The sequence below is a fragment of the Homo sapiens genome, chromosome 9, assembly GCF_000001405.40.
Source record: "Homo sapiens chromosome 9, GRCh38.p14 Primary Assembly".
NCBI classification, from domain to species: Eukaryota; Metazoa; Chordata; class Mammalia; order Primates; family Hominidae; genus Homo; species Homo sapiens.
Genome location: NC_000009.12, coordinates 2,802,800 through 2,826,154, shown reverse-complemented (window position 1 = coordinate 2,826,154; position 23,355 = coordinate 2,802,800). Strand labels below are relative to the sequence as shown.

At 37.6% G+C, this 23,355-nt stretch overlaps 1 protein-coding gene across 1 annotated transcript in view, besides 3 other annotated features; it reads left to right on the top strand.

The window, feature by feature from the left end:
- The window catches only part of PUM3 (pumilio RNA binding family member 3), a 39,944-nt gene extending 17,941 nt beyond the window's left edge, over nt 1-22,003 (top strand). Inside the window, exons 11-18 of the mRNA NM_014878.5 lie at nt 1,340-1,438; nt 2,321-2,374; nt 6,057-6,137; nt 13,793-13,935; nt 14,572-14,794; nt 15,724-15,811; nt 18,251-18,341; nt 21,692-22,003. Coding sequence (NP_055693.4) covers nt 1,340-1,438; nt 2,321-2,374; nt 6,057-6,137; nt 13,793-13,935; nt 14,572-14,794; nt 15,724-15,811; nt 18,251-18,341; nt 21,692-21,824 — 912 coding nt within the window. The 3' untranslated portion in view covers nt 21,825-22,003. The remainder of the gene's footprint in view (nt 1-1,339; nt 1,439-2,320; nt 2,375-6,056; nt 6,138-13,792; nt 13,936-14,571; nt 14,795-15,723; nt 15,812-18,250; nt 18,342-21,691) is intronic.
- Nucleotides 1,232-1,526: a silencer, noted in NCBI's record as "tiled region #9529; HepG2 Repressive non-DNase unmatched - State 17:Gen3'". NCBI's record gives its function as "represses a minimal TATA promoter and a strong SV40 promoter by Sharpr-MPRA in HepG2 cells {active_cell/tissue: HepG2}" and the evidence as "EXISTENCE:reporter gene assay evidence [ECO:0000049][PMID:27701403]".
- Nucleotides 14,167-15,040: an enhancer, noted in NCBI's record as "NANOG-H3K27ac hESC enhancer chr9:2811115-2811988 (GRCh37/hg19 assembly coordinates)". NCBI's record gives its function as "activates a minimal SCP1, AML or CMV promoter by ChIP-STARR-seq in naive H9 embryonic stem cells {active_cell/tissue: H9 hESC(naive)}" and the evidence as "EXISTENCE:reporter gene assay evidence [ECO:0000049][PMID:30033119]".
- Nucleotides 16,792-17,667: an enhancer, noted in NCBI's record as "NANOG-H3K27ac-H3K4me1 hESC enhancer chr9:2808488-2809363 (GRCh37/hg19 assembly coordinates)". NCBI's record gives its function as "activates a minimal SCP1, AML or CMV promoter by ChIP-STARR-seq in primed H9 embryonic stem cells {active_cell/tissue: H9 hESC(primed)}" and the evidence as "EXISTENCE:reporter gene assay evidence [ECO:0000049][PMID:30033119]".
- Nucleotides 22,004-23,355: the final 1,352 nt, after the last annotated feature.

Here is a 23,355-nt window from a genome sequence, read left to right as displayed (position 1 = left end):
AATTGTCTTTTCTGGTATTGGGGGCATTTTCAAAAGAGACTTAAAAAAAAAAAAACCTTCGGGGAAAATGGAAGCATAATTGGAATATATGCATGGCTTTCCATCTGGATAGCTCTGAAGAGATTCCTAAGTTCAGATATGTTAGTTGAAACTGCTCTTGAGAGTCATCTTGGGAAGGGATTGTTAGATACTTGAGGCTGAAATTGTTTGTTCCTTATTGATGAAATTAGGCACCTACCCTCTCTTTCGTGGCATGAGGCTTTGTATTTATTTAATGTACATTTTTAAATTGGGAATAGACTAAAATGGAGCTCTGCACTTGTTAGTTGCCAGAACTCATTTACATCCTACATGCCTTAGACTTTGAAAATATAGGGCCAGGCACGGTGGCTCACACCTGTAATCCCAGCACTTTGGGAACCCGAGGCGGGCAGATCACAAGGTCAGTAGTTCGAGACCAGCCTGGCCAATATGGTGAAACCCAGTCTCTACTAAAATACAAAAATTAGCCGGGGGTGGTGGCGGGCACCTGTAGCCCCAGCTACTCGGGAGGCTGAGGCAGGAGAATTGCTTGAACCTGGGAGGTGGAGGTTGCAGTAAGCCAAGATGGCACCACTGCACTCCAGCCTGGGTGACAGAGCAAGACTCCGTCTCCAAAAAAAAAAGAAAATGTAAATAAGAAATTATATACATGGAAAATGAAGGCTAAAGGTTAAATTAAGCTAAGCTACCTAGTGAGAAATTAAATGTTTTTTACTAAAGGGTCATTTTATAGGTGAGGTCTTAGTCTAAATGTTAGTATAGAAATTTTTCATGAGGAAATGTTATGTAAGCGTGTTTATGGTAAAGAATGTGATTTTTGGAGATAATCCAGTTATGAACTGAAAAGGGAAGCTTTTCAGTCAAAATGAGTGTTTTGATTCTGTTTATTGCATACAGGTCTCTTTTGGGGAAGAGCATTTTCTTTGTCTCGCTATTCTGTTAAAAGCTCCCTTCTTATCACCACCACCTCCTAGGCTTCTTTTTCTTGGAAAATTATTTAGAATATATTATATTACACATATAGCTTGACCTTTTTTTTAACAGACATTGGTAAAAGTCAGGTATTGTTTTTAATAGATATTGTCTGCCAGCAGTATTTACTGCTCTTGATGGAAAAGAACATTTCTAGAAAGAGCTCGTGTTTCTGTTTGATTGTCTACAAAATGAAATTGTTTGCTACCTGGCACTCTCTTCCTTTCCTTCTCTCTGCATAACTGCCCCCTGTAGACAGACAGATAAAACAGTAGAAAGAAGAAAATAAAGCAGAGCCCTGTTCCTGACAGCATTTGTTCCCTAGGAAATGATTGAAGCCATCCGCGAAGCGGTGGTCTACCTGGCACACACACACGATGGCGCCAGAGTGGCCATGCACTGCCTGTGGCATGGCACGCCCAAGGTAAGTGTGACAGCACTTGGGCATTTAAACTGTACAAGTCAGGGCCATGCTTTATCTGCAGGCTTGACTTAGCTGTCCTTAGACTTTTAACCCCCTTTGGTCTTTGCCCTGTTGTGCATTATCTTCCAAAAGTTGTGCCTTAGAGCCTGATGGGAATGAGCCATCTTCTTTAGGCCTAGTGTTTCTTCTTTCCTCTGCTTTAGTAGAAACCTTGAAGTTTCATTAAAGGATGGGAAGAGATCTATCAAGCAAGTAAACATAATATGTATTTAAGCTTTAGTTTATAGAGGTTTTGGTACCTCCTCTTTTAATGATCATACTGTGGCAGGGGAAAATGGGAAGAGATAACAAACAGCTGGCCACACACATTTGCTCCCATAGGTGTTATGTACTTGAGGGAAAAGGTAAAGATCCTTATTAATCACAGAAGTTTAACAGAAATTATCATTATTTCCTTGGTCAGCATAATTCTGCCTTTAAAAGATAGTTGTACTATATCTACTTTTTTTAATGCAAATTTAATTTTATTCAACAAATGCAGATGAGTACTAACTGTTTGCTAGACTCTGCATTTGAGGACAGTTTAGACCTTGGAAGAAGGATCTGTCTGGTCTCACTGTGAAAGGTGGCTTGCAAACCCTAACCCTAACCCTAACCCTAACCCTAACCCTATCACATACACATCTAAGCTTGTAATAGCTCTAAGCCAACTTCTTTGGTATATTACAGTTTTTTTGTTCTGGCTGTATAACTATTATTTTTACTAATGAAAACATATGCCACTCAAATGAAAACTTAATAAATATTATATTAAAATGTTTAACTACAAAATACCCTTAATACATAACTGAAAATTCAGTGAGACAATCTTTCCTTTTTAAGGACAGGAAAGTGATTGTGAAAACAATGAAGACTTATGTTGAAAAGGTGGCTAATGTAAGTATAATAAAACTACATATTCTAATTATTTTTGATAGTAAGATGAATTCATGTCTATTATAGAAAATTTGGAAAAATTCAGAAAATTACCAAGCAGAAAATTATTGTTTTATTATATTTTTCTTTGCATCTACATGTATTTTCATATTTTATCTACACAAAATGGAAATCATGTCACATGCATTCTTTTCTCCTTTTTTAATTTAACATTGTATTGTGATAGTTCTCTACTTTTATTAGATATTCTTTGAAAACCTGATATTTACTAGCTTTTTTGGTGAATTTGTCCAGTCATGTTAATTAAATATGGGAATTACTGCCTGGATACAGTATGTACATATTTTAGTCTCTGGGTAAATGATGCCAGATTGCACTTCAGAAACTTGATAGTAGTTTTCCTTATGACCAAAACCATAAAAGAAATTAAAATGTATCTTTTTTTTAAGAATAAATTTGCAGTGTGGTTATGGAAATTTTTAGTTGTTAAATTTTATAGCTCTTTAGAAATGCAGTAACAATTTTCCTAATGAAATTCATAGGTACAAAAGTTTTTTCTGGGGGATTTGTTGCTTCAAAAATAGTGTTTATATGTTTTTAGTTATTAAATAATTTTTCATGCTGTTGCTATGGTGTACTGTAACTAGAATATATGTAGTGAATACAATTTTAATTTTTGAGTTATACTTTATATATTTGATGGATAACAAATTTCTAATTTATTGATGAACTAAAATTATGTAGTAATCAACTACTTTATCCTTTGAAAACATCCAGTGAGAACTACTAGCATCTGGGGAATACTTCAACTTGTTTGAAATACTAAATCAAACAAGTTAAAATTAATGCTGTGTGATTGTGTACTTGACTATTGTCTTCTGTTGGGCTAGAAATTAGAAGAATTCAGAAGGCAGCTAACGTTCCTATAATAAAGTGAAATATGGAATTCTCATATTTTTTATAATTCATAATTCAATATTCATATATATTTCATAATTCATAATTATAATATGAATTATAATGTTATATATTATATAACATTATATTATTATGTTATAAATATAAATATAATTCATAATTATAATTCATAATTCAATATTAAGTAAATTTTTTTGCGTGACATTCTAATTTGAATACCTTACATTAAAATGAGTAAAAACTAGAATGTTAATAGAAAATTCACAAAGGTATTAAGAGTATAACATTTTAAAATAATAAAATTATATTGTTTTAGTTCTACAGTTTGTTTATGTCAGGTAATTTAACACTAAGTACATATCTTTTTAAATCTCGAAGAGTTACTTCTAAAGGGGTGATAAGCTAACGTTACCCATGGATTTGATCCATGGATTATTTGGAATTATTAATTTCCAAATATTGGGGGTTTCTGGATATATTCTATATTCTTTTGTTCCTTTTAAATTTACTGAGACCTGTTTTATGGCCTAACATATGGTCTAAGTATTTTGAAAATAATATATTGTAGAGTTGTTTGGTGGGGTATTCTATATTTGTCAATTAGATCAAAGTAGTTGACAGTGTTCATACCATCAGTGTTTTTACTGACTTATTATTTTCTAGTTCTATCAGTTGCTGAGAGAAACATGTTAAAATTTCCAACTATACTTGTGGATTTGTCTGTTTCTCACTTACATTCAATTCTGTACCACCTTCTGTTGTATTCACCTAGAAATATTTTATGCTTGGTTATGCTTATGTGTGTCCGAGTTAAGAGAACTGAAACCAGTGATTTTGTACTAGGCACGTTGTTCTATATTTTGTCTCCTTCACTTAATTCATATTATGGGTCATTTTATTTCAATATACATACATCTGTCTACCTCACTTTTCTTAGTGACTGTAATATTTCATCGTGTGCCTATACCATAATTTATTTAACCAGTCCCCACTGTTGGGCATTTTGGTAGTTTCTAGAGTTTTTAAAATTACAATTAGTACCCCAGTGAATATATTCATATGTAAGTCTTTGTACTTACATGGAAACACGTCTGCAAGATAAATCCCTAGAACTAGAATCACTGGATCAGCTCATACCTGCATTTTAAATTTGTATAGGTGTTGTCAATTGCTCTTCAAAGAAGTTGAACCACTTTACATTCTCATCAACATAAAAGCGTGCCTGCTTTTCCCTAAACCTTTGATAAATTAGTCTATTGTCAGAGGTTTTCACCATCACCCATAGGATAAATGGCATTTCATTGTTTTAATTATTGTCCTTAATTAGTTCATAAAGCATTATTTCATACATTTAAAGACATTTGTACTTCTGTTTTAGTGTGATCTGACTCTTCATGTTCTTTTTTTTTTTTTTTTTTTGAGACAGAGTCTTGCTCTGTCGCCCAGGCTGGAGTGCCGTGGCGCGATCTGGGCTCACTGCAAGCTCCGCCTCCCAGGTTCACGCCATTCTCCTGCCTCAGCCTCCTGAGTAGCTGGGACTACAGGCGCCCACCACCATGCCCAGCTAATGTTTTGTATTAGTAGTAGAGATGGGGTTTCACCCTGTTAGCCAGGATGGTCTCGATCTCCTGACCTCGTGATCCACCAGCCTCAGCTTTCCAAAGTGCTGGGATTACAGGCGTGAGCTACCGCACCTGGCTTTGCCCATTTTTAGTTGGTTGTTGGTCTTTGTATAGTAAGACCTTTGTTGTTTGTCTTCAGTTTGTCTTTTTGACTTTACAGTTAGCAACTTCGTTATTGTTTCTAATTGAAATTGTATTATCTGTGATATTTATCAGATCTGGCTCTGAATGATTGTGGGCTATTATCAAAAATCAAATTCCTATCAGAGTTTGAAACAATTATATCAACATCCAGGATACTCATGCCACAAGCTCTGGAAACAGGTTTTTGTTTTCTTTTGTTTTTGTTCTTAACATAAAGTAGGTGTTCTTTAAATGTTTGGAACAGTATTAGCATCATGGAAATAATTTTATTTCAAAAGATGAGTGTTGTGAAAGCCACATGTGTATTTCTGTGATCTCATGCAGCTATACTTTTTTTAAAGTAATGATTTTTATATCATTCTCATTCAGTGTATAATTATACTCTTCTAGTTTATTTTTTCATATTTATATTCTAATTTTGTGAGATCACTTTAAAGAAATTGAGCAATATAGAAAAGAAAATTAAAAATCATTTGTATAACCCAGAGATGACTATTACAATGCCTTGCCTTCCAGGATTTTCTGTGTACATGTATTATGTATATCGTGTGTGTGTGTGTATGTGTGTAAAATTGTATGAGTTTATATTTTCTTTTTCATGATTGGAGTATCATATATGTGTTTATATATGTAGGTTTTTTGAAGTTAATCTTATAACTTGAACTTTTAAGTATAATTTTCAAGTAGCTATTCATTAACAGTAACCTATGTAAATAGGTATTAGTTTTAGACTATTTGGTAATGAATAATGTGCTTTAAAAAAAAATCAACCTTACCTCTAGAATATAATTAATGAGGTCGTGATAAGAGAGGAAGTTCATTAAAATGGCTTTTATTCATCTTGTTATGTTAGACAAGTTGTCAATGTAGGTAATCTTTTTTTTTTTTTTTTTTTGAGCGGAGTCTCGCTCTACCTTTATGAAGATATTCCATGTGTGAAATAAGAGGGAAGATCTATGCACTTGTTTTTAACCTTTGCTGGCTTCCAATTCTTGCAGGGCCAATACTCCCATTTGGTTTTACTGGCGGCATTTGATTGTATTGATGATACTAAGCTTGTGAAGCAGATAATCATATCAGTAAGTAATCCTGATGGTCTTGAATTTAAGTTACATCGATAAACCAGTTGTGGATGTGTAAGCTTGATTTCACCATGCATGTGTAAAGACTTGCAGCTGTGCCTTCTATCAGTATTTTTGCTTACTTTTAAGTTAATTATGTTTTATTTTGGAGGTTTGTTTTATTCCTGTGTAAATCTTAACCTTGTAACTTGATATTAATACTGTTTTAAATATTTAAGACTGGTCAAATTAAGATTTAACACTTTTATTTTGGATTAGGATAACATGGTACTTTAGAACATACGTGATTCTAAACTATGGAAAATTAGCAAAGTGATATTTAGATATGATCAGAAACTAGCATAGTAATTCCTTAGTTATTCCAGAACTCAAATACAAGCAGAGAGTATCTGTGACCTATTAAATTATCTCTCTCCCTGTGGAGAAATAATTACCTCTGCACAGTTACCCAGTTAATCAATGCATCTGTGCTGGATTGAGCTGATGGAGAAGAGAAATGTACAAAACTCACTCAGTTGTGATGCTTCTTAGAGCTTTTGTAGGGTCAGATTAAAAGTTATTACTAAAATTAAAACTCTAGCTTCCTTTTGACATTTCAGAAATTCCTTCTAGTCCAGTGTAGTGGCCATAAAGTGGTAATACTTGAATGTAGTGTATTTATCGCTAACGTTGCCTTCAGAAAAACCAATTGTCCTCTTAGGGGAAGTACTCCAAAGTAAAAATTGCATTCTAAACTATGTGTTTTCTTCATTCTGCATCAATAGTCTCTTTTTCTGATTCTACAATTGTCTTTTCTTTTGTTTTTAGTGTATGAGTGGTGTTGAGTATATGGTAGAGGTTGCAGCAGGGTGGGGATAAGAAAATACTAGTTTGATAGTAGTGACCAAACTTGGAAACGTCTGGAAAACCACATAATCTGTATAGACATAGGTTATTCATCTGAAAATTACACAAGCCTTTCTGTTTGATATACATAAATGGGACCCTTGGAGAAATCTTAGTGATGACATGTGGTACTTTCACATCTGCAAGAAAGAAGAATATGATGATTCAAAAAGAGAATTTACCTGTTGTCAGGTGGTGGTGTTGTGGTCTCTCTTTGTAGCCTCCTGGGATCAGTAGAGCTGAGTGTAGTAGAAAAAGTATACCAGCTAGTGGAGGGGAAGATTGTTTTCTTAGATGCCAGCCGTAGGTCCCAGTGTGTGTGAATTTCTCATGCCCTTGCTGTCATTTTCCAACTTTACCCTTGACTGTTTTAAGATTGTGATGACTTTCTTTGGGATAGGATTGTGGGAAGAAACAAGTTGGCAAGACTTTCATGTTACAAACTGAGTATTTTGACATGTTCCTTGTGACTTTATTACCCTTTTGACTCCAATCAATAATGATTGTTTTTCATTCTTGTGACAGAGATGTGAGGCCATAGAATTGGCTGATGAATAAAGTTGTTTCACAGAAATGGAAACAGGCTGGGATATTGAAAGTTTGCTTTTGTTTAATATTTTCACGACAACTAAAATGTGCATAGCTGTTCCAAATGGATTTCAAGAGAAACCAAATTTCCTTCATGATTTGCCAGAATTGTCTGTTAATTTTTTTCCAAAGATGTATGCCACTTAAAGTTGCTGTTGAAAAAGTTTTAATTCCTTATGCTTATCACTTTGATTCCCACAACTGCTTAACCCACATTCTTAACGACTTTCTCATACTTAGGGCAGCTTTCCCTGAATGGCCTGATTTGCCGATCTCTTTCCTGTAACTGACAAACGTTCAACAGGTTCTGTGTATTATTAAACTGTGTAGCTCGTGATAAAATTCTGGAATGCTAATTGCCCTTGGATTTTTCCCATCACTCATCCACCACAAAAACAGTTGCAGTATGCAGTGCTTTTTAAAAATAACCAGGAAAGCTTAGTGTTGCTAAGCACTCTGTTCAGGGCACCAGACTTCCCAAAATGTCAGGTTGAAATCACAGCCTGGTCAGCTGAGCTCTTCGCCTTTCAAAATGGATACGAGCTCTTTCTTACTACTTTCCTAAATAAACATAAAGTTTCATCCAGTTTACCTTTGCAGTCAATTGATATGCAGACGGTTTGACAGCAATGGTCGCTGGAAAGTAAATAAGTATACTAGCCAATTGCTGTTTGAGGGTGAATAAATATTGATGCATATTTTTAAAGCCATTGTCTTTAAAATATACAGAAAGGTATGAATAATACAGTGAACATCCAGCCTCCCACCACCTGACATGAAATAAAACTTGACAAATACAGTTCAAGTTTAAGCCCTTTGTGTACCCATCCCTGATATCCTATCATCGCCCCATATCTACTATGATAAATTTGGTATTTATTATTCATCTGCATTTCCTTATCCTTTCACTATATGTGGACATTTTTTATTTTGTAAAACATGTATCTAATTTTATTTTACATGTTTGCAAGTTCTGTATAAATGATGTCTTACATGTATTTTTCTGCATCTTGCTTTTTTTCTTTTCTCATGTTTGTGAGATTTATTGTCAGGGGTCAGCAAGCCTTTTTATAAAGGGCCAGTTAATAATTATTTTAGCCTTTGTGGGGTATATATGGTCCTATCATGTATTCTTGTGCATTTTGTTTTTGTTTTTTAAAACCCTTTTGAAATGTAAAAACCATTATTAGCTTGCAAGATGGACAAAAACAGGCTATAGGCTGAATTTGACCAATGGGCCATAGTTTACCCATCCCTATTCTAAATCATTTATTTTTCACTGCCAAATAGTATTCTATTACATGTGACTATACTGCGATTTATTTTCTGTTTTCCTGGTGATGGATGTTTAGGTTGTTTACAATTTTAAAAACTAACTTTAATTCTTAATTTTTGCTAATCCAAATCCTTGAACATTCTTGTGTATATTTCCTTGGGTACATGTTAAGTTTCTCTAAGGCACTTAGCAGAATTGCTGGGCTGCCAAATTTGCTGCATGTATGTTTATATAGAGAGTCACGTGTTCCTATTTCCCACTCAGCCACTACGAAACCATTGCATTACGCAGTGCTTTTAAAAATAGCCAAGAAAGCTTAGTGTGTTGCTAAGCATTCCATTTAGAGTAACTAGATTTCCCAAAATGTCAAGTTGAAATCATAGCCCGATAATCACTGCTTGTTTTCTGTTAAGACTAAGCTCTAGTGTAATCAGCAGATAGTGATCTTCTAGTCAGATGTGGTCTCCCCACCCACTCAACTACTATAGTCTTTTTCTTTGCCATCCTTTCCTTGAGCAGTTAATCATGATCTCACCCAGGGCTCACAAACCTGCAAACCTTCATTGACCAGATAGGTAAATGAGTGGCCAGGCCAGGTGTGAGACAAGGAGATGTGGGAGGGACTGTAGGAAATGGCGAGAGCACACACCCTCTGCAAGGTGGTGGGCACCATTCAGCTCCAGTCCCTGGCAGTGTGAGCTCCATGGCGATAGATCTTCACATTTGTTTTCTTTTTAATTGAGGTAAACTACATATAACAAAATTTAGCATGTTAACCATTTTGAAGGATACAGTTAAGTAGTATTAAATATGCTCATTGTTAGGCAATCTCCAGGACTTTTTTTATTTTGCAAAACTGAATGAAGCAGCGTACCCACTAAACTAGACCTTCCAGTTTTTTTAGTGCAGCTGAAAAGGTAGACTTTTGGAAACAGTCACCCTGTTTTCAGAACAAAATACTTGGGAAGCTGCCTGATGATCTAACCTGCCCTCTATATTTCTGTTATCCATTAGTTAAATCTCTTAGTTTTAACTTTTTATTAACTCTCTTCCCTCTTCACTAGCTTTTAGGTTCTATGCAGTAGTCTGCATTTCTTTTTGTCCCCATAGCAAACTACCGTAAGAGTGGACACCACAGGCTCAGTCTTCAGCACCATGGATGGGTTGATTTTTACATTTCTACCCTCAACCAAAAACGCACACGCCTTAACCCTACTTCATGTGTGTATCTTTATTTTGACTTTTACCCTTCCTCTTTAAAAGCGCATTGGCAAAACAGGAGTGCCAAGGTATCTAGCTGGAGTTCAGCGCAAGGCAGTCAGAACTGGCCAAAGATGTCTTCAGAAGGGAAGTCTTTTGTAATTCCCATGCTTTCTTTGTTTACATGCCTACTTTAGAGCTTAAGAAGAAATTACAATAAATGGGCCTTTGTGAATTTTCTGTAAGTTAACTCTTGTTAGGAGTAAGCCAAGCCAAAACCTTTTGAATTAAACAATTTTTGGTATTCTTTCTCTTGAGGGTAAAAACTCATGACTCAGCTAGCTTTATTTAATCTCCATAGTTAAGGAGGCTATACATATTGAAAGGTATGTTTTTAATATGAAATAATTATTTTATGGCAGCTTTCACTTTGCAGTGTGACTTTTTCTGATTTGCTCCTGGTAGTAGCCCATGAGTTAGGCAGGTGTATCATTTCCTTTTAAATGTAAGGGAATTAATATGCAAAGAGTTTAATGGATTTGCCAAAGGCTACACAGCTTGAACTTAAGACCCCGGAGATTAAATTCTGCACAAAATCAACTATGCCTTAGCTGTCTCTTACCTATTTATACATGTTACTGGAATTGTTAGTACACACCATGTGATAATCTAGAACTTCCTCCCCATTTTCTCTGTAACCCAAGTTAAAGAGAAATGGAGTAGTACTCTTTCAAAGGTGTATGTTTTTGATGGTAGGGGAAAGCTGTAACGAGGGTGAGCTGGGGAAGGATTAAATGATACTACATTTTTTTTGCTGATCAATAAGGTGGGTTGAAAAAATGATACTACATTTTGAAGAAATGTTTTTTAGTTTTTTGTAAAATTGTTATTTATAAACATGCATTCTTTTAAAAGCCTTAATTAAATACGAATTTAGATTCTAAATTCCTTAATTACAAACCAAAAGGGAGTAAAGTTCAATGAATTTGGGGACTGGTCTGAGTAGTATTTAAGCACAGGTTTTATGCATATCATGAAGTCCCAGTTTCTCATTTTATAAAACCATTTCTGCCCAAGCCATATGTGTTGGATTAGTCCCTAAGCATGGAAGCTGTGGAGAAAGCTCAGTGTATTGAGGAATACATTGCCGGCTTCATGCCTCCTCCCTATACCAAGGAAAAAAATGTTAACTAAAAGTGTAGAGTAGCCATTATAGTTGTTCACTACATACTGCCCAGTTTTTTTGTTTTGTTTTGGTTTTGTTCTCAAAAAAACAAATTTTTAAAGGTGTTATATTTCAGAGTCATTTTGTTAAGGGCAGCGAAATTTTGTTTTTGTTTTTGTTTTTGTTTTTTAAACTGTAGAAATTGGCCCAGGCTATGTATTATTCTCACCTCTTTCTTTCAACAAATTAACAAAATATATAACAAAGCATTTGTCCTCTCTTATGTGTTGGTTAAAGCTTAATATAGGTACCTAAAGGTACACTAAAGGCACACTCAAGGTATGCCATATTTGGGGCACTAAACACTTCATTATCAGCAACACATAGATTGGCCTGGTGTGGTGGCTCATGCCTATAATCCCAGCAGTTTGGGAGGCTGAGGTGGGTGGATCACCTAAGGTTAGGAGTTCGAGACCAGCCTGGCCAACATGGCGAAACCCCATCTCTACTAAAAATACAAAAATAAGCTGGGTGTCATAGTGCAGCCTATAGTCCCAGCTACTCCGGAGGCTGAGGCAGGAGAATTGCTTGAACCCAGGAGGCAGAGATGGCAGCGAGCCAAGATCACGCCACTGCACTCCAGCCTGGGCAACAGAGTGAGATTCCGTCTCAAAAAAAAAAAAAAATAGTTGGAGTTCACTTTGGAGCTTGTTTTCCTTGAGAGAGTTCCCTGCCTTGTAACAAGTTCTGTATGCTTTTTGTGTGTTTTCCCGTTTGTTACTGAAATTTTAAGTTCATTTTCCCTGAGTGGTTGTAATTAGTTATTCATTTTGAGGTGGTTAGACCTATTGAATTTTCAGCTCTCTGAAAACTTTTATGTGTTACATGGGAATCTTTATACTGTGATCTTAAACTTCAGAAGTAGTTAGGAGAGCATAATGGGGATTGGACTGGTAGAAACAGGACATAGTGGTCAGAAGATTACGTTAGATGATCAGTGTGCAGCTCTCAGTAGTGCTTGACTCCTAGTAAGCACTTAACGAGTGTTAGCTACTGTTATCAGAAGCATGCTATACTTTTGTGCAAAAAATGAGGGAAGGTTGAGATTTTAAAAAGAGAAACATGGTGTTTGGAACCTGGAGCAGCATCATCAGCCATAGGATCATGATGCAGTGAGATTCACGGTCCCATCGTTGATGGCTGACTTGATTTTGAGCTTGGTTCCTCACACTAAAATTACTAATCTCATCATAATAAATAGGCCCTTTTAAGAAGAGCAGATCTGAATATATCATCTCAGAGAGAATTCCCTTCCTTAAGAGGAGGTTTTATGTTTTCTTTGAAAGAGACTAGATTTGGAGTTGGAGGACCAGGACACTGCCACTGTGAGTCCCCTGGCAGATCCTTTCCTCTTTCTGGATGCCTCATCTGTAAACCTGGCCAGTTGGACAGAACTCTTTCCGAGGCCCAGCCAGTTCTGAAGAATATGGGGTGCTCAAACATGCATTGAATATTTATAAAGTTTGTTACAAGAAATAGGAGTGTTAGAGGTGGGGAAATAAATTGATGACTCTTCTGTTGCATCTTCTCTATTAAGAATAAAGGAATTTTTAAAAATTTTCAAGTGACTTTTCTATCTTTGAAAACAGCAGATTTACACAGGAGTTTAGTTAGGGTGGGGATGACGTTGCTTTTGTCCCTTAAATTCGAACAACTAGAAAAGGAGGTTACTGTTCTTGGGTATGTTGATTGGAAATGTCATATAGTGTAATTTGTAACTGCTTAGTCGAGGCTTTCTGGATTTGGTTTCCCCTCCTCTTCTGTTTTTGTTTTTCATTGCGGTAGCTAAACAGCCTTCATTTGCCATGAATAAGCAACCTAACTTTAAAAGCCTTTATCCACTTGTTCGATTTAACAGAGTTTCTTTATCTCCTTTCACATACATCTCAGCAGGGAAATTCTAATAGAAGTGTTCTTCATTCATGCCGGTGCTACATTTAAATGCAGCTGCAAGTTAACTGCCTCTACTCAGTGACCTCAGCAAGTGATGTCCCTAGTAATAGTGGCCCAAGAAATACTGGCCATAATGAATGAAGATAACACCTTTAAATATTTTTTAAGTCCTTGGGCTTGGTCAGTTAATACAAATGAGTTGTTCAGTAATGCTAGTCACAAAAGAGAATTGATTCTGTGTTCTAAATGTAAATCTCTGTGTGCTTTAATGACACAATTTCAGAACTAGCTCCACATTTTCCATGAAGTACGCTGGGAAAAATAGTAGTTAAGTATGTATTCTTCACCATTGAAATTCTAGGCATACTTTATTTTAAGAATGTAGATATCAATTCATTTTTTTGTTGTTGTTTATAATTTTATAGGACATTGTGCTCACTTTGGCAGCACATATACTATAATTTTATAGGAAATTATCAGTTCCTTGCTTAGCATAGTAAATGGCAAATATGGAAGAAAGGTCCTGTGGTACTTTGTTTTGAGAATGCAGATATTGATTCTTTTTTTTTGTTTATAATTTTATAGGAAATTATCAGTTCATTGCCTAGCATAGTAAATGACAAATATGGAAGGAAGGTCCTATTGTACTTACTAAGCCCCAGAGATCCTGCACATACAGTACGAGAAATCATTGAAGTTCTGCAAAAAGGAGATGGAAATGCACACAGGTAAAACCAAGTAGAATGGCTTGACTTCTTTATTCCTCTGTTAATGTTGAGTAGTGCATTCTTCCAGAAGTCCACTTACCCATCCATACCCTCTCTAAAACTGCTGAAAAGGTGAATTCCATTTTCAAGCCTATATTTTTGACAGATTCTAAAGTTTTTATCTTGACAAGGAAATAAAAGTGTCGTGCCAAAAGAACACCTGAGCACCTGGCACATAGTAGGCATTCAAGTGCGTGGTTTGGCTTTTATTTTGCTTTATTTTCAAAGCTACCGATACCACATATTTGAGTACCCTAGAGTATGGTGTCCATACAGCAGTGTAAATGTGTTGTTTTCTGGGTATGTTATTTGGTTTTTGGATTTTTTTTTTTTTTTTTTTGGTATTACACAAGTCAGACTCCCTTTATTGAGCCCTTGTTCTGTGCCAGGCACTATTCAGATCGTGGGACACAAACATTTTTAAAAACAGAACACATACTCGTATCACTTATTGTCTACATGCTTAACAGAAAGATAGACAATAATAATAGAGTGCGATACAGTCTGTGATAAGCTCTTAGAGGTTTTTGTGATAATATCACCACATTTCCTTTGCGATTTATCTTACCTTAATACCCCGTTCAACATACTCAACAGTAAGAAAGATACAGAGGTCCGCAGACGGGAGCTCCTAGAATCCATTTCTCCAGCTTTGTTAAGCTACCTGCAAGAACACGCCCAAGAAGTGGTGCTAGATAAGTCTGCGTGTGTGTTGGTGTCTGACATTCTGGGATCTGCCACTGGAGACGTTCAGCCTACCATGAATGCCATCGCCAGCTTGGCAGCAACAGGACTGCATCCTGGTGGCAAGGACGGAGAGGTAATGTGCCATTAAAGCACAGGCAGGAAAGCTGCAAAGGCCACAAAAACTTCGTTTTTGGACGATGTGGGGTGTCAGTAAGAAAGCTGGGGAGGGAGATACCTGTTGAATAAACAACCAAGAACCTCTCACAGCAGCAATTACATTCATCTTTAATTTTCTCTAACCATCTGGGTCAAAGCCTGGTACTTGGGAATGTTTTACAGATGTGAATTTGCTTATGAATGAAATCATTGCCAAGTATTGAGTGCCCAAGGTGCTTCTGACACCTGCGATTGGGGAAGAGAAGTGGGCCATGGATCTTAGAGAAGCCCTGGCTCCTGACCATATTAACAAATGGGAAAGATGAATGTACCTTGAAAGTTTCTCTATAAGGAGACTGAGCCGGTTGCCTCCCATACTTGCTAAGGAGTAGCCCAAATAACTGGGAACGCTTGGTATTGCTCTTGAAGAGGAGTAAGGTTGAGCTGAAAAGATGCTTTCTTGATTCGCTCATCAGATAATCCCCTTCGGTGGTCATGTGTACTTAAACAGCATGCAGCATTGGGTTTTGATGTTTGTGCTATAGTGTTCTGTCCTGTAGGTTTATTTGTGTCTGAGAATGACATATTTCAATCCAAGACGTGATTAGCATTAAGATGAGCCTTGTGCTGCTACTGTTCAGAGCAGATTAAATGAAGCGGAGACTGAAGCGCTGTGCCGTGGCTGTGTTATCTGGCATAACTGTCTTTCAGTCTGGGGATCAGAATAGATCTGTGGTCCCCCCAAGTATGATGGTTGTCCTAGATAAAGACCTCTTAAGCCTGTGGAACTTTAAAAGTGGCTGAGTCCTTATCTGTATGTGGTGGCATAAATAGTATGTATTCATTCAAATGTATTTGTATGAATGAAAACAACTTTTAAAATTAACTGTTCTTGACCCTTCATAGCTTCACATTGCAGAACATCCTGCAGGACATCTAGTTCTGAAGTGGTTAATAGAGCAAGATAAAAAGATGAAAGAAAATGGGAGAGAAGGTAGGCTATGAAATTTGACCTTTTCTTGTATCTCATGTGGAATTCCAGTAATTCCTGGCATCCCTGAACTTTATACCAGCCATTTAAGCTCAAATGAAGTTTGCCAAGTGTCTAGAAATGGTGTCTGTGAATAAGAAATGATTCAGTGGTTGCTGGTAATGCTTTTTCCCCTAGAAATATTTGTGCCTGAGAACTCTTTTAATTTTCTTTTTTCCAAACCCCCCCCGCCAGCCCCCCCCACCGCCCCCTCACTCTCTCTGTTTTCCTTCCTGTGCTGCTGCAGGCTTCTAACCTGGCTTGGTCAATGCCTTAAAATGCCATTCTAATGAGGATGGTGAGAGGGGGTAGGGGGCCCCAATTGTTGAGTATCATTACCTCAGTAGAAAGGCATGACATTTATCTCTATGTTTGAAGAAAGAATAAGCAGAAGAAGATTATCCTCGTAAGAGAGTTTTGGACTAGTGCCTGTTTATTTGGCATTGAAATACATGTGACCAAAGAGTAAGCCAGTCTTTGGCGCTTTCTGGTTTTTTGTAAGCCTTACAGCTGCTCTGTAGAAACTCAGCTCTCTAGAGAAGGACAGCATTAGCATTTGCATGCCATTCCCCTCTCAGTCCTATCTCCAACCAGACCTTCACTTACAAAATCCAAATTCCATCTGGTATTTAAACCACTGGAGAGATTTTTTTCCCCTACTGAGTTAAAACAGTTTGGGCTTTTCATTACAATGTCTGGAAAAAAGTGACAGATCATGAATTCATGTCTTGCGGCAAGTGGCAGCTCTGATGGCTAGTGTGGCAATCAGTATAGCAGTAGAGCTGTCACTTCTCACCTTACCTTTAAGAATGGGGACCTGGGGCTATTTTTCACTAAATTTTTTTGTAAAAGAGAAGCCTTGTGATAAATATTAAAGAAAAAAATAACATATGGAATAATCTTTTTCATTATTAAAAAGTTGATGTATAGTTGAGTTTATGCCAGAAAAGTAGTCTGGCTTAATGTCCAGTGGTTTTTCTCCCTCTTAATTAAAATGTGCTGAGAACCCTAAAATCTGCCAGTTTGGGTCTGATGTGTTTGTCTTGTCGTATTCAGCACCAAATGAGTTTGTCCTCCTGCACGTCTAGCTGTTTTGATTCTCTTTTACTGGATAGTAGCCACCTTAAAACTTAGTAGTTTTCAAAACAATGACTTGATCAGGGTCTGGTGGAGCCTGCCCCTCTATGCTCAGAGTCAGAGTCATCTAGGGCTGCTCGGTTTGTGGTTGGAGTGTCCACTTTTCGCTTAGCTCACTCACATGGCTGGCAAGTGAGTACTGACTGTTGGCTGGGGACCAACAGCCTCAGTTTCCCTTTCTAGGCTGCTTGGGCTCCTTCACGAGATGGTGGTTGCTTTTTTAAGAGTGAGCATCCCAAGAGGACAAAGTAAATGCGTGGCACTTCCATGATTTATCCTTAGCAGTCATTTAATGCCACTTTCATCATACTGTCTTGGTCAAGTCAATCACAGAGGCCCACTGTGATTCAAAAGAAGACATGGATTCCCCCTATAGATGGGGGAGTGGCTGCATTCTAGAAGAGCACACAGGACAGGAGATATTATTGTGGTCAGCTTTGGAAAACAATTTGCCTCACTAGCTGAACTCTGTCCCTCTTTAGCAGGTACCATGAAAGGCTGAATAGCCATAGGCCTCTTGGCTTTTAAAGAGTCCTTACATTCAGGTATCTTTGAATGAATTATATAGTACATGCTACCTGACTATGATGTTTGCCTTCAAGATAGGTTGTCCCTACCTCCATCTGCACTAAATCTTAGCTATCAGAATTTCTCCTTTGTCCAAGCATTAATTGCAAAGTGAAAAAGATAATACCACGACCTTGGGAATCAAATACTAGAATAACGGGAGAAAAATGGTATTTTTGATTTGTGAGTATGTAAGCGTTGTAAAGAGAAATGCCAAGTTTAAGCTAGAACAGTCATTTATCAACCACTGTTGAACACGTGAACACTGTGTTATGTTCATGGCACCTTGTGAGTGAGCATTTCTCCATGAGGAAGAACTTGATTTCAACCAAGCATGAGGTGCTACTGTGAAACATTTATTTCCTGAATAGCTTTCAGGTCAAAGTTAAATCATTAAATAATACAAAGAAGTGCAGACATAACCAAGTGAGTGTTTTATTAGAATTCATAGTTTATCTTGAGTAATTACTGCTAAACATAGCTTAGGTTTTGGATCAGAGTTAAAAGAAATGGCTCTTTTAGAAATGCATTAGATAAACCTGCACTGGAATTTTTTGTGTTAAAAGGGAGATTGGGTGAAAGCTACTTTTGTTAGCTTTTTTGTTTAAAAATATTTGCAGATTTAAGGGCAGTAGAGAAGGGGGTAGGGAGTATATATCTTATTATGTGATGTTCACTAAGCTTCAGTATATTTTACAGGTTGTTTTGCAAAAACACTTGTAGAGCATGTTGGTATGAAGAACCTGAAGTCCTGGGCTAGTGTAAATCGAGGTGCCATTATTCTTTCTAGGTATGTATAACATGTGCCCTTCTCTGAGCAGGGCCTGGTCATGCAAAAGACACACTTCCTTCACGTTGATTTCTCAGTTCTAATATTTGTTCTCAGTAGTCTAATATTACTCCCAGTCACTCATGGTCTAGACAAACATACCAAATATTAGAAAGCAAATGTAACTCTTTCAGTCAGTCCTTAGGAATCTTTTTTTTTTTTTTTTTTTTTTTTGAGATGGAGTCTCACTGTCACCCAGGCTGGAGTGCAGTGTCACGATCTCAGCTCACTGCAGCCTCAACCTCCTGGGCTCAAGTTTTCCTCCCATCTCAGCCTCCTGTGTAGCTGAGACTACAGACGCATGCCACCACACCCAACTAATTTTTATTTTTTTATTTTTTGTAGAGATGGGGGTCTCCCTGTGTTGGCCAGGCTGATCTCAGACTCTTAGGCTCAAGTAGTCCTCCCATCTTGACCTCCGAAAGTGCTGGGATTACAGGCATAGCCATTGTGCTTGGCCCTTAGGATTTTTAAACTACCATCTTTTTGACAAATTATAACATTCACAAGGTATCAGGTGGCTTCACCACATTTATGGTTTTGACCAAAACATAATTTTTTTTTTTTGAGATGGAGTCTCACACTGTCGCCCAGGCTGGAGTGCAGTGGTGCGATCTCAGCTCACTGCAAGCTCTGCCTCCTGGGTTCATGCCATTCTCCTGCCTCAGCCTCCTGAGTAGCTGGAACGGCAGGTGCCCGCCACCACGCCCAGCTAATTTTTTTTATTTTTAGTAGAGACCTGGTTTCACCGTGTTAGCCAGGATGGTCTCGATCTCCTGACCTCGTGATCTGCCCACCTCGGGCTCCCAAAGTGCTGGGATTACAGGCATGAGCCACTGTGCCCAGCCTGTATTTTTTTTAATGAATAACTTACATCCCTGTGAAAACTGTGACAATGTTGACTTTTAAATCATGCCTAATTCTACATGTAATTTCCTTCATTGTTTTAAAAGATTGTAAAAGGATTGGAAGAGCATTTGCTACTGAAGTGTGTGTGCTATTTGTTGATATCTGACTTAAAATGAGAAAAAAACAGTGATGAGCTATGGCCTCTTTTGTATTATTCTCTGAACTTAGTTGAGTTTATAATCAATCCACAAATCATTGAAATTTTCCATACATTCTCTGTGCAGATGAAAACCTTCTGTTAAGAGCATTCATTTAAAAAAAGATTTGTATGTTGCTTTGAAGCAATTACTGTTGATTTTTCCCCTGCTGTGTTATTAAGGTTTGGGAAAACAGATACCAACCCTAGTTTGAATTTCTCAAGATACTTTACTTGCAACATGCTATGCAACTTAATCTATGTTGTTTGTAAATGTTATTTTAAGTGTTTCTTCAACATATACGTGATCTGGTACACATAATACTCACACAGGAGCATTCATAGCTTCAGGTATGTCAGTGTCTCCAAATATATAAGTGTTACAGATCATTTTGTTCATTTCTGCTTAAAATTAGTTAATTTTCCAGTTGATGTTAAACAGTCAGAATTCGTTAGCTGATACATGAACTTTTTCATTACAAATTTTTTTACCAGGCATTTGGAGTGTTAACACCTACTGACACATTCTTTCATTACACTCAATTAACTGGAAATTTCAGCAATGCCATGAAATTAATTTATAAAGGTTGTTCATCAATCAGAACTCCCATTAGGTGGATTTCAAACATAGGAAGGATACTATAGGTTTATTATGGAGCACTACTCAGAATTGGAACAGGAGCAGAGGAAATATTTGAAGTTCTAAATGGAAGTTGAGCTATATATAACAATAATACAAAAAAATTGTTTTTGTAAATTTTGGGTGAAAAGAAAATCAGCCTTGTATGTTGGCTGAAAAGTAACTCAGAGAAGCAGAATTCTCTAACATTTGGGAGCATTGGCACTTGACAGACTGCCTGGGTTCTAGCTTAGTGCATAGCCTTGGGAAAATTATTCAGCTTTTCTGGGCCTTAATTTTCTTGGTGGTAAAAAAAATGAGATTAATGATAACCCTATGGTCGTTATGAAAACTAGATTGGATGATGCATATAAAATGCCTAGCATTATGTCTAATATGTGGCATATGCTCAGTAAGCAATAACTTACTATTATGTGTTGTATAACTGTGTGTTTAGCCAAGATGTATGAAATAAAAACACCTAGTGAGTCACAAATTCATTACGAGGGAACTTTACTTTTTAGCATCGTAGGTGGCAAGCTGAATTGTTTCTTATCTCCCATAAGCAGTAGAATATTGCTTGGTGCTGATAATTTATCCTCCTCTTTGTTGACATATTGGAAGTTACTGGGACCAGGGACTTTGGAAAATACCAAGTACCTCATTTCTAAAATGTGTTTCAGAGGTCCGTATTTACAAAGGGTCCCGAAAAAGAAGAGAACAGGAAATTCAGGACTGGTACTCTGCGGTCAGAGCTGTAGGTCCTATCCACAGAGAAATGGGCCTGCTGTTACCAGCCTCTATGGCTCCTTTCACTTCTGATAGAGTACTCGGGCAGGGTTTCAGAACGCAGAGGCCGGGCTTATTTTGTAGAATGGCTAACATTTATTAAGTGCTTACTAAGTGTCAGGCTCTGGCTGGGTGCTTTAGATACAAGGCCATTTGAGCCTCAGAAAACCACTCTGTGAGGTGGAAGGTGGACTCTGTTGTGAATCCCATTCTACAATTCGGGAAACTGAGTCTTAAGAGAGTTTACATAGCATGCTCTTGGTTGTACAGTTACTGAGTGGTAGAGGCAGGTTTCCCACCCAAGCAGTGAAGCTCCACAGTGAAGCCCTTCGCCCTTTCACTCAATGTTAGTGCTGTGGAGTTCAGTGAGAAGACCTGCTAACTCTGACCTCTCTGTGCCTCTGTTCACACCTTTTCATTCAGCCACGTGGTGGGCATATTTTGGCTGTCTGCTCTGTAAATGTAGCATCATGAAATAAATAAAATACGGTCCCTGCTCTTGAGCTTATAGTCCTGAGATGGGGAAGGGAAGATAGAATACATGTAGAATCATTTTAAGACAGGATGTAAGTAAGTCCTAAGATAATGTGAAGGTAGAACCAACTCTGTATGGAATGATGTTGGTCCTACAAATGTCTTTGCTTGGGTGACTCCACCAGCAAGATTCTAAAACGTTTTTTTCCGTGGTGTTATAATATGGGCTACTGGTCTCATCATTCATCCTTTGAATGAAAAATAATGTGTATATAGTTACAAGGCTTGTGTCACAGTTAACAAAGTCTTTTTTACTGTTGGTACAGGTAGTATTGGAGATGATCTAGGAATGCTTATGAAATTTAATTTTTTTCCTCTCTTCAGCCTCCTCCAGAGTTGTGACCTGGAAGTTGCAAACAAAGTCAAAGCTGCACTGAAAAGCTTGATTCCTACATTGGAAAAAACCAAAAGCACCAGCAAAGGAATAGAAATTCTACTTGAAAAACTGAGCACATAGGTGGAAAGAGTTAAGAGCAAGATGGAATGATTTTTTCTGTTCTCTGTTCTGTTTCCCAATGCAGAAAAGAAGGGGTAGGGTCCACCATACTGGTAATTGGGGTACTCTGTATATGTGTTTCTTCTTTGTATACGAATCTATTTATATAAATTGTTTTTTTAAATGGTCTTTTTTAAAAATCTCAGCTGTCTCCTCTGTTACACTGAGTAGTAAGCATATCAGTGTGAGGCAATTAATGTGGAAGGTTTACCAATCATATATGGTGGGACCAACCAGATATATAAAGTGTAGTTGAATGAGTTGATTCAGGGGAGAAGACATCTTCAGTGAGCATAGTCTGAGAAGGCTTCCTGGAGAAGGTGGGACTTGAGAGGACTTTCATCCTGTCAAAGGAAGGCAGGATGTGGAAAAGAAGAGCCAGGGGGAGTCGTGGGCACAGTAAAGTGGAATTTAATGAGTACCGGGGCAGTGGGGGGTTCACAGCTGCCTACCTAGCTGTTTTATGGATTAGGTTCCATGCTAGATTTTGTTTGAAAGCCACTCAGGTAAGTTAAGCTCATAGGAGGAAATGTGCTAAATGAATTAGGGGATCACTGTGGATTGCGGTGTTAAAGTCAGGGTCACTGGGAAGTTCTCCTTGTCTCTGATTTTGGGCCTTCCAAGTAAATAGCTCCTTGTGATTAGACTTTCTCCCTTGAGACTGTCCCTAAAATGTCAAAGCCTATGGAGTTTGAATAAGAAGGAAGAAGGTGGAAATTTGTTACGTGCAGAAGTTTAACTACAGCTAGGATGTTTGAATTTTAAAACTGCAGTTGTTTGAGCAAACAAAGCTTAGAAGGATTGGTAGCTCAGTCAGGCTCATGTAGTCATGCCTATGAGTATCTGGCTGCTTTCTCAAAGTAGTCTAACGGGGTACTCACTCAGGTCTGTCACTGCAGTTACACCTGCTGAGGAATTGGCTGTGCCTTTCCTTTCCAGACCATGGGGTCCCAGGACTACTCCAGCCTACCGACTACCAGGACCCCTCCTGCCACGGTGTATTGAATCCTTCCCAGACTGCAAAAGCGCTGATGGCTGTAACTTTTGACATGGATTCTCACATCACCCAATATAAGGGTGTGGGTGGAGAGCTGGAGGAACTGGGATGGGATAAGGAGGTGAATGGGGAAAAGGCAACAGTAGAGCTTGCATTTGTTTGGCTAATACATTGTGATTTGTGTTCTCTGTATAAAGAAGCCATTCAGAGAAAGGGGGAAAGAACCCCTGCTCTTTGTTTCATCTTTGAAACTAAGATAATGTGTACATAATTTGAGGAGTACTTTTATAAAGCTTATAGCAGAAGCAGCAATCTACCCCATTCCTCTGCACCCCTGCCTCACCCTCCCCAGAACTACTGATTATTCTTCGCTCTGCTAAATGTCTAAATACATCTATCAGTTGCAGGTATTTTCTTTTGATTTCCTATTACAGGAAATGCAGATTAAGAACTTTTACCATCACTGTTCCCCACTCCTCTTCCCTCCCTTCCCAG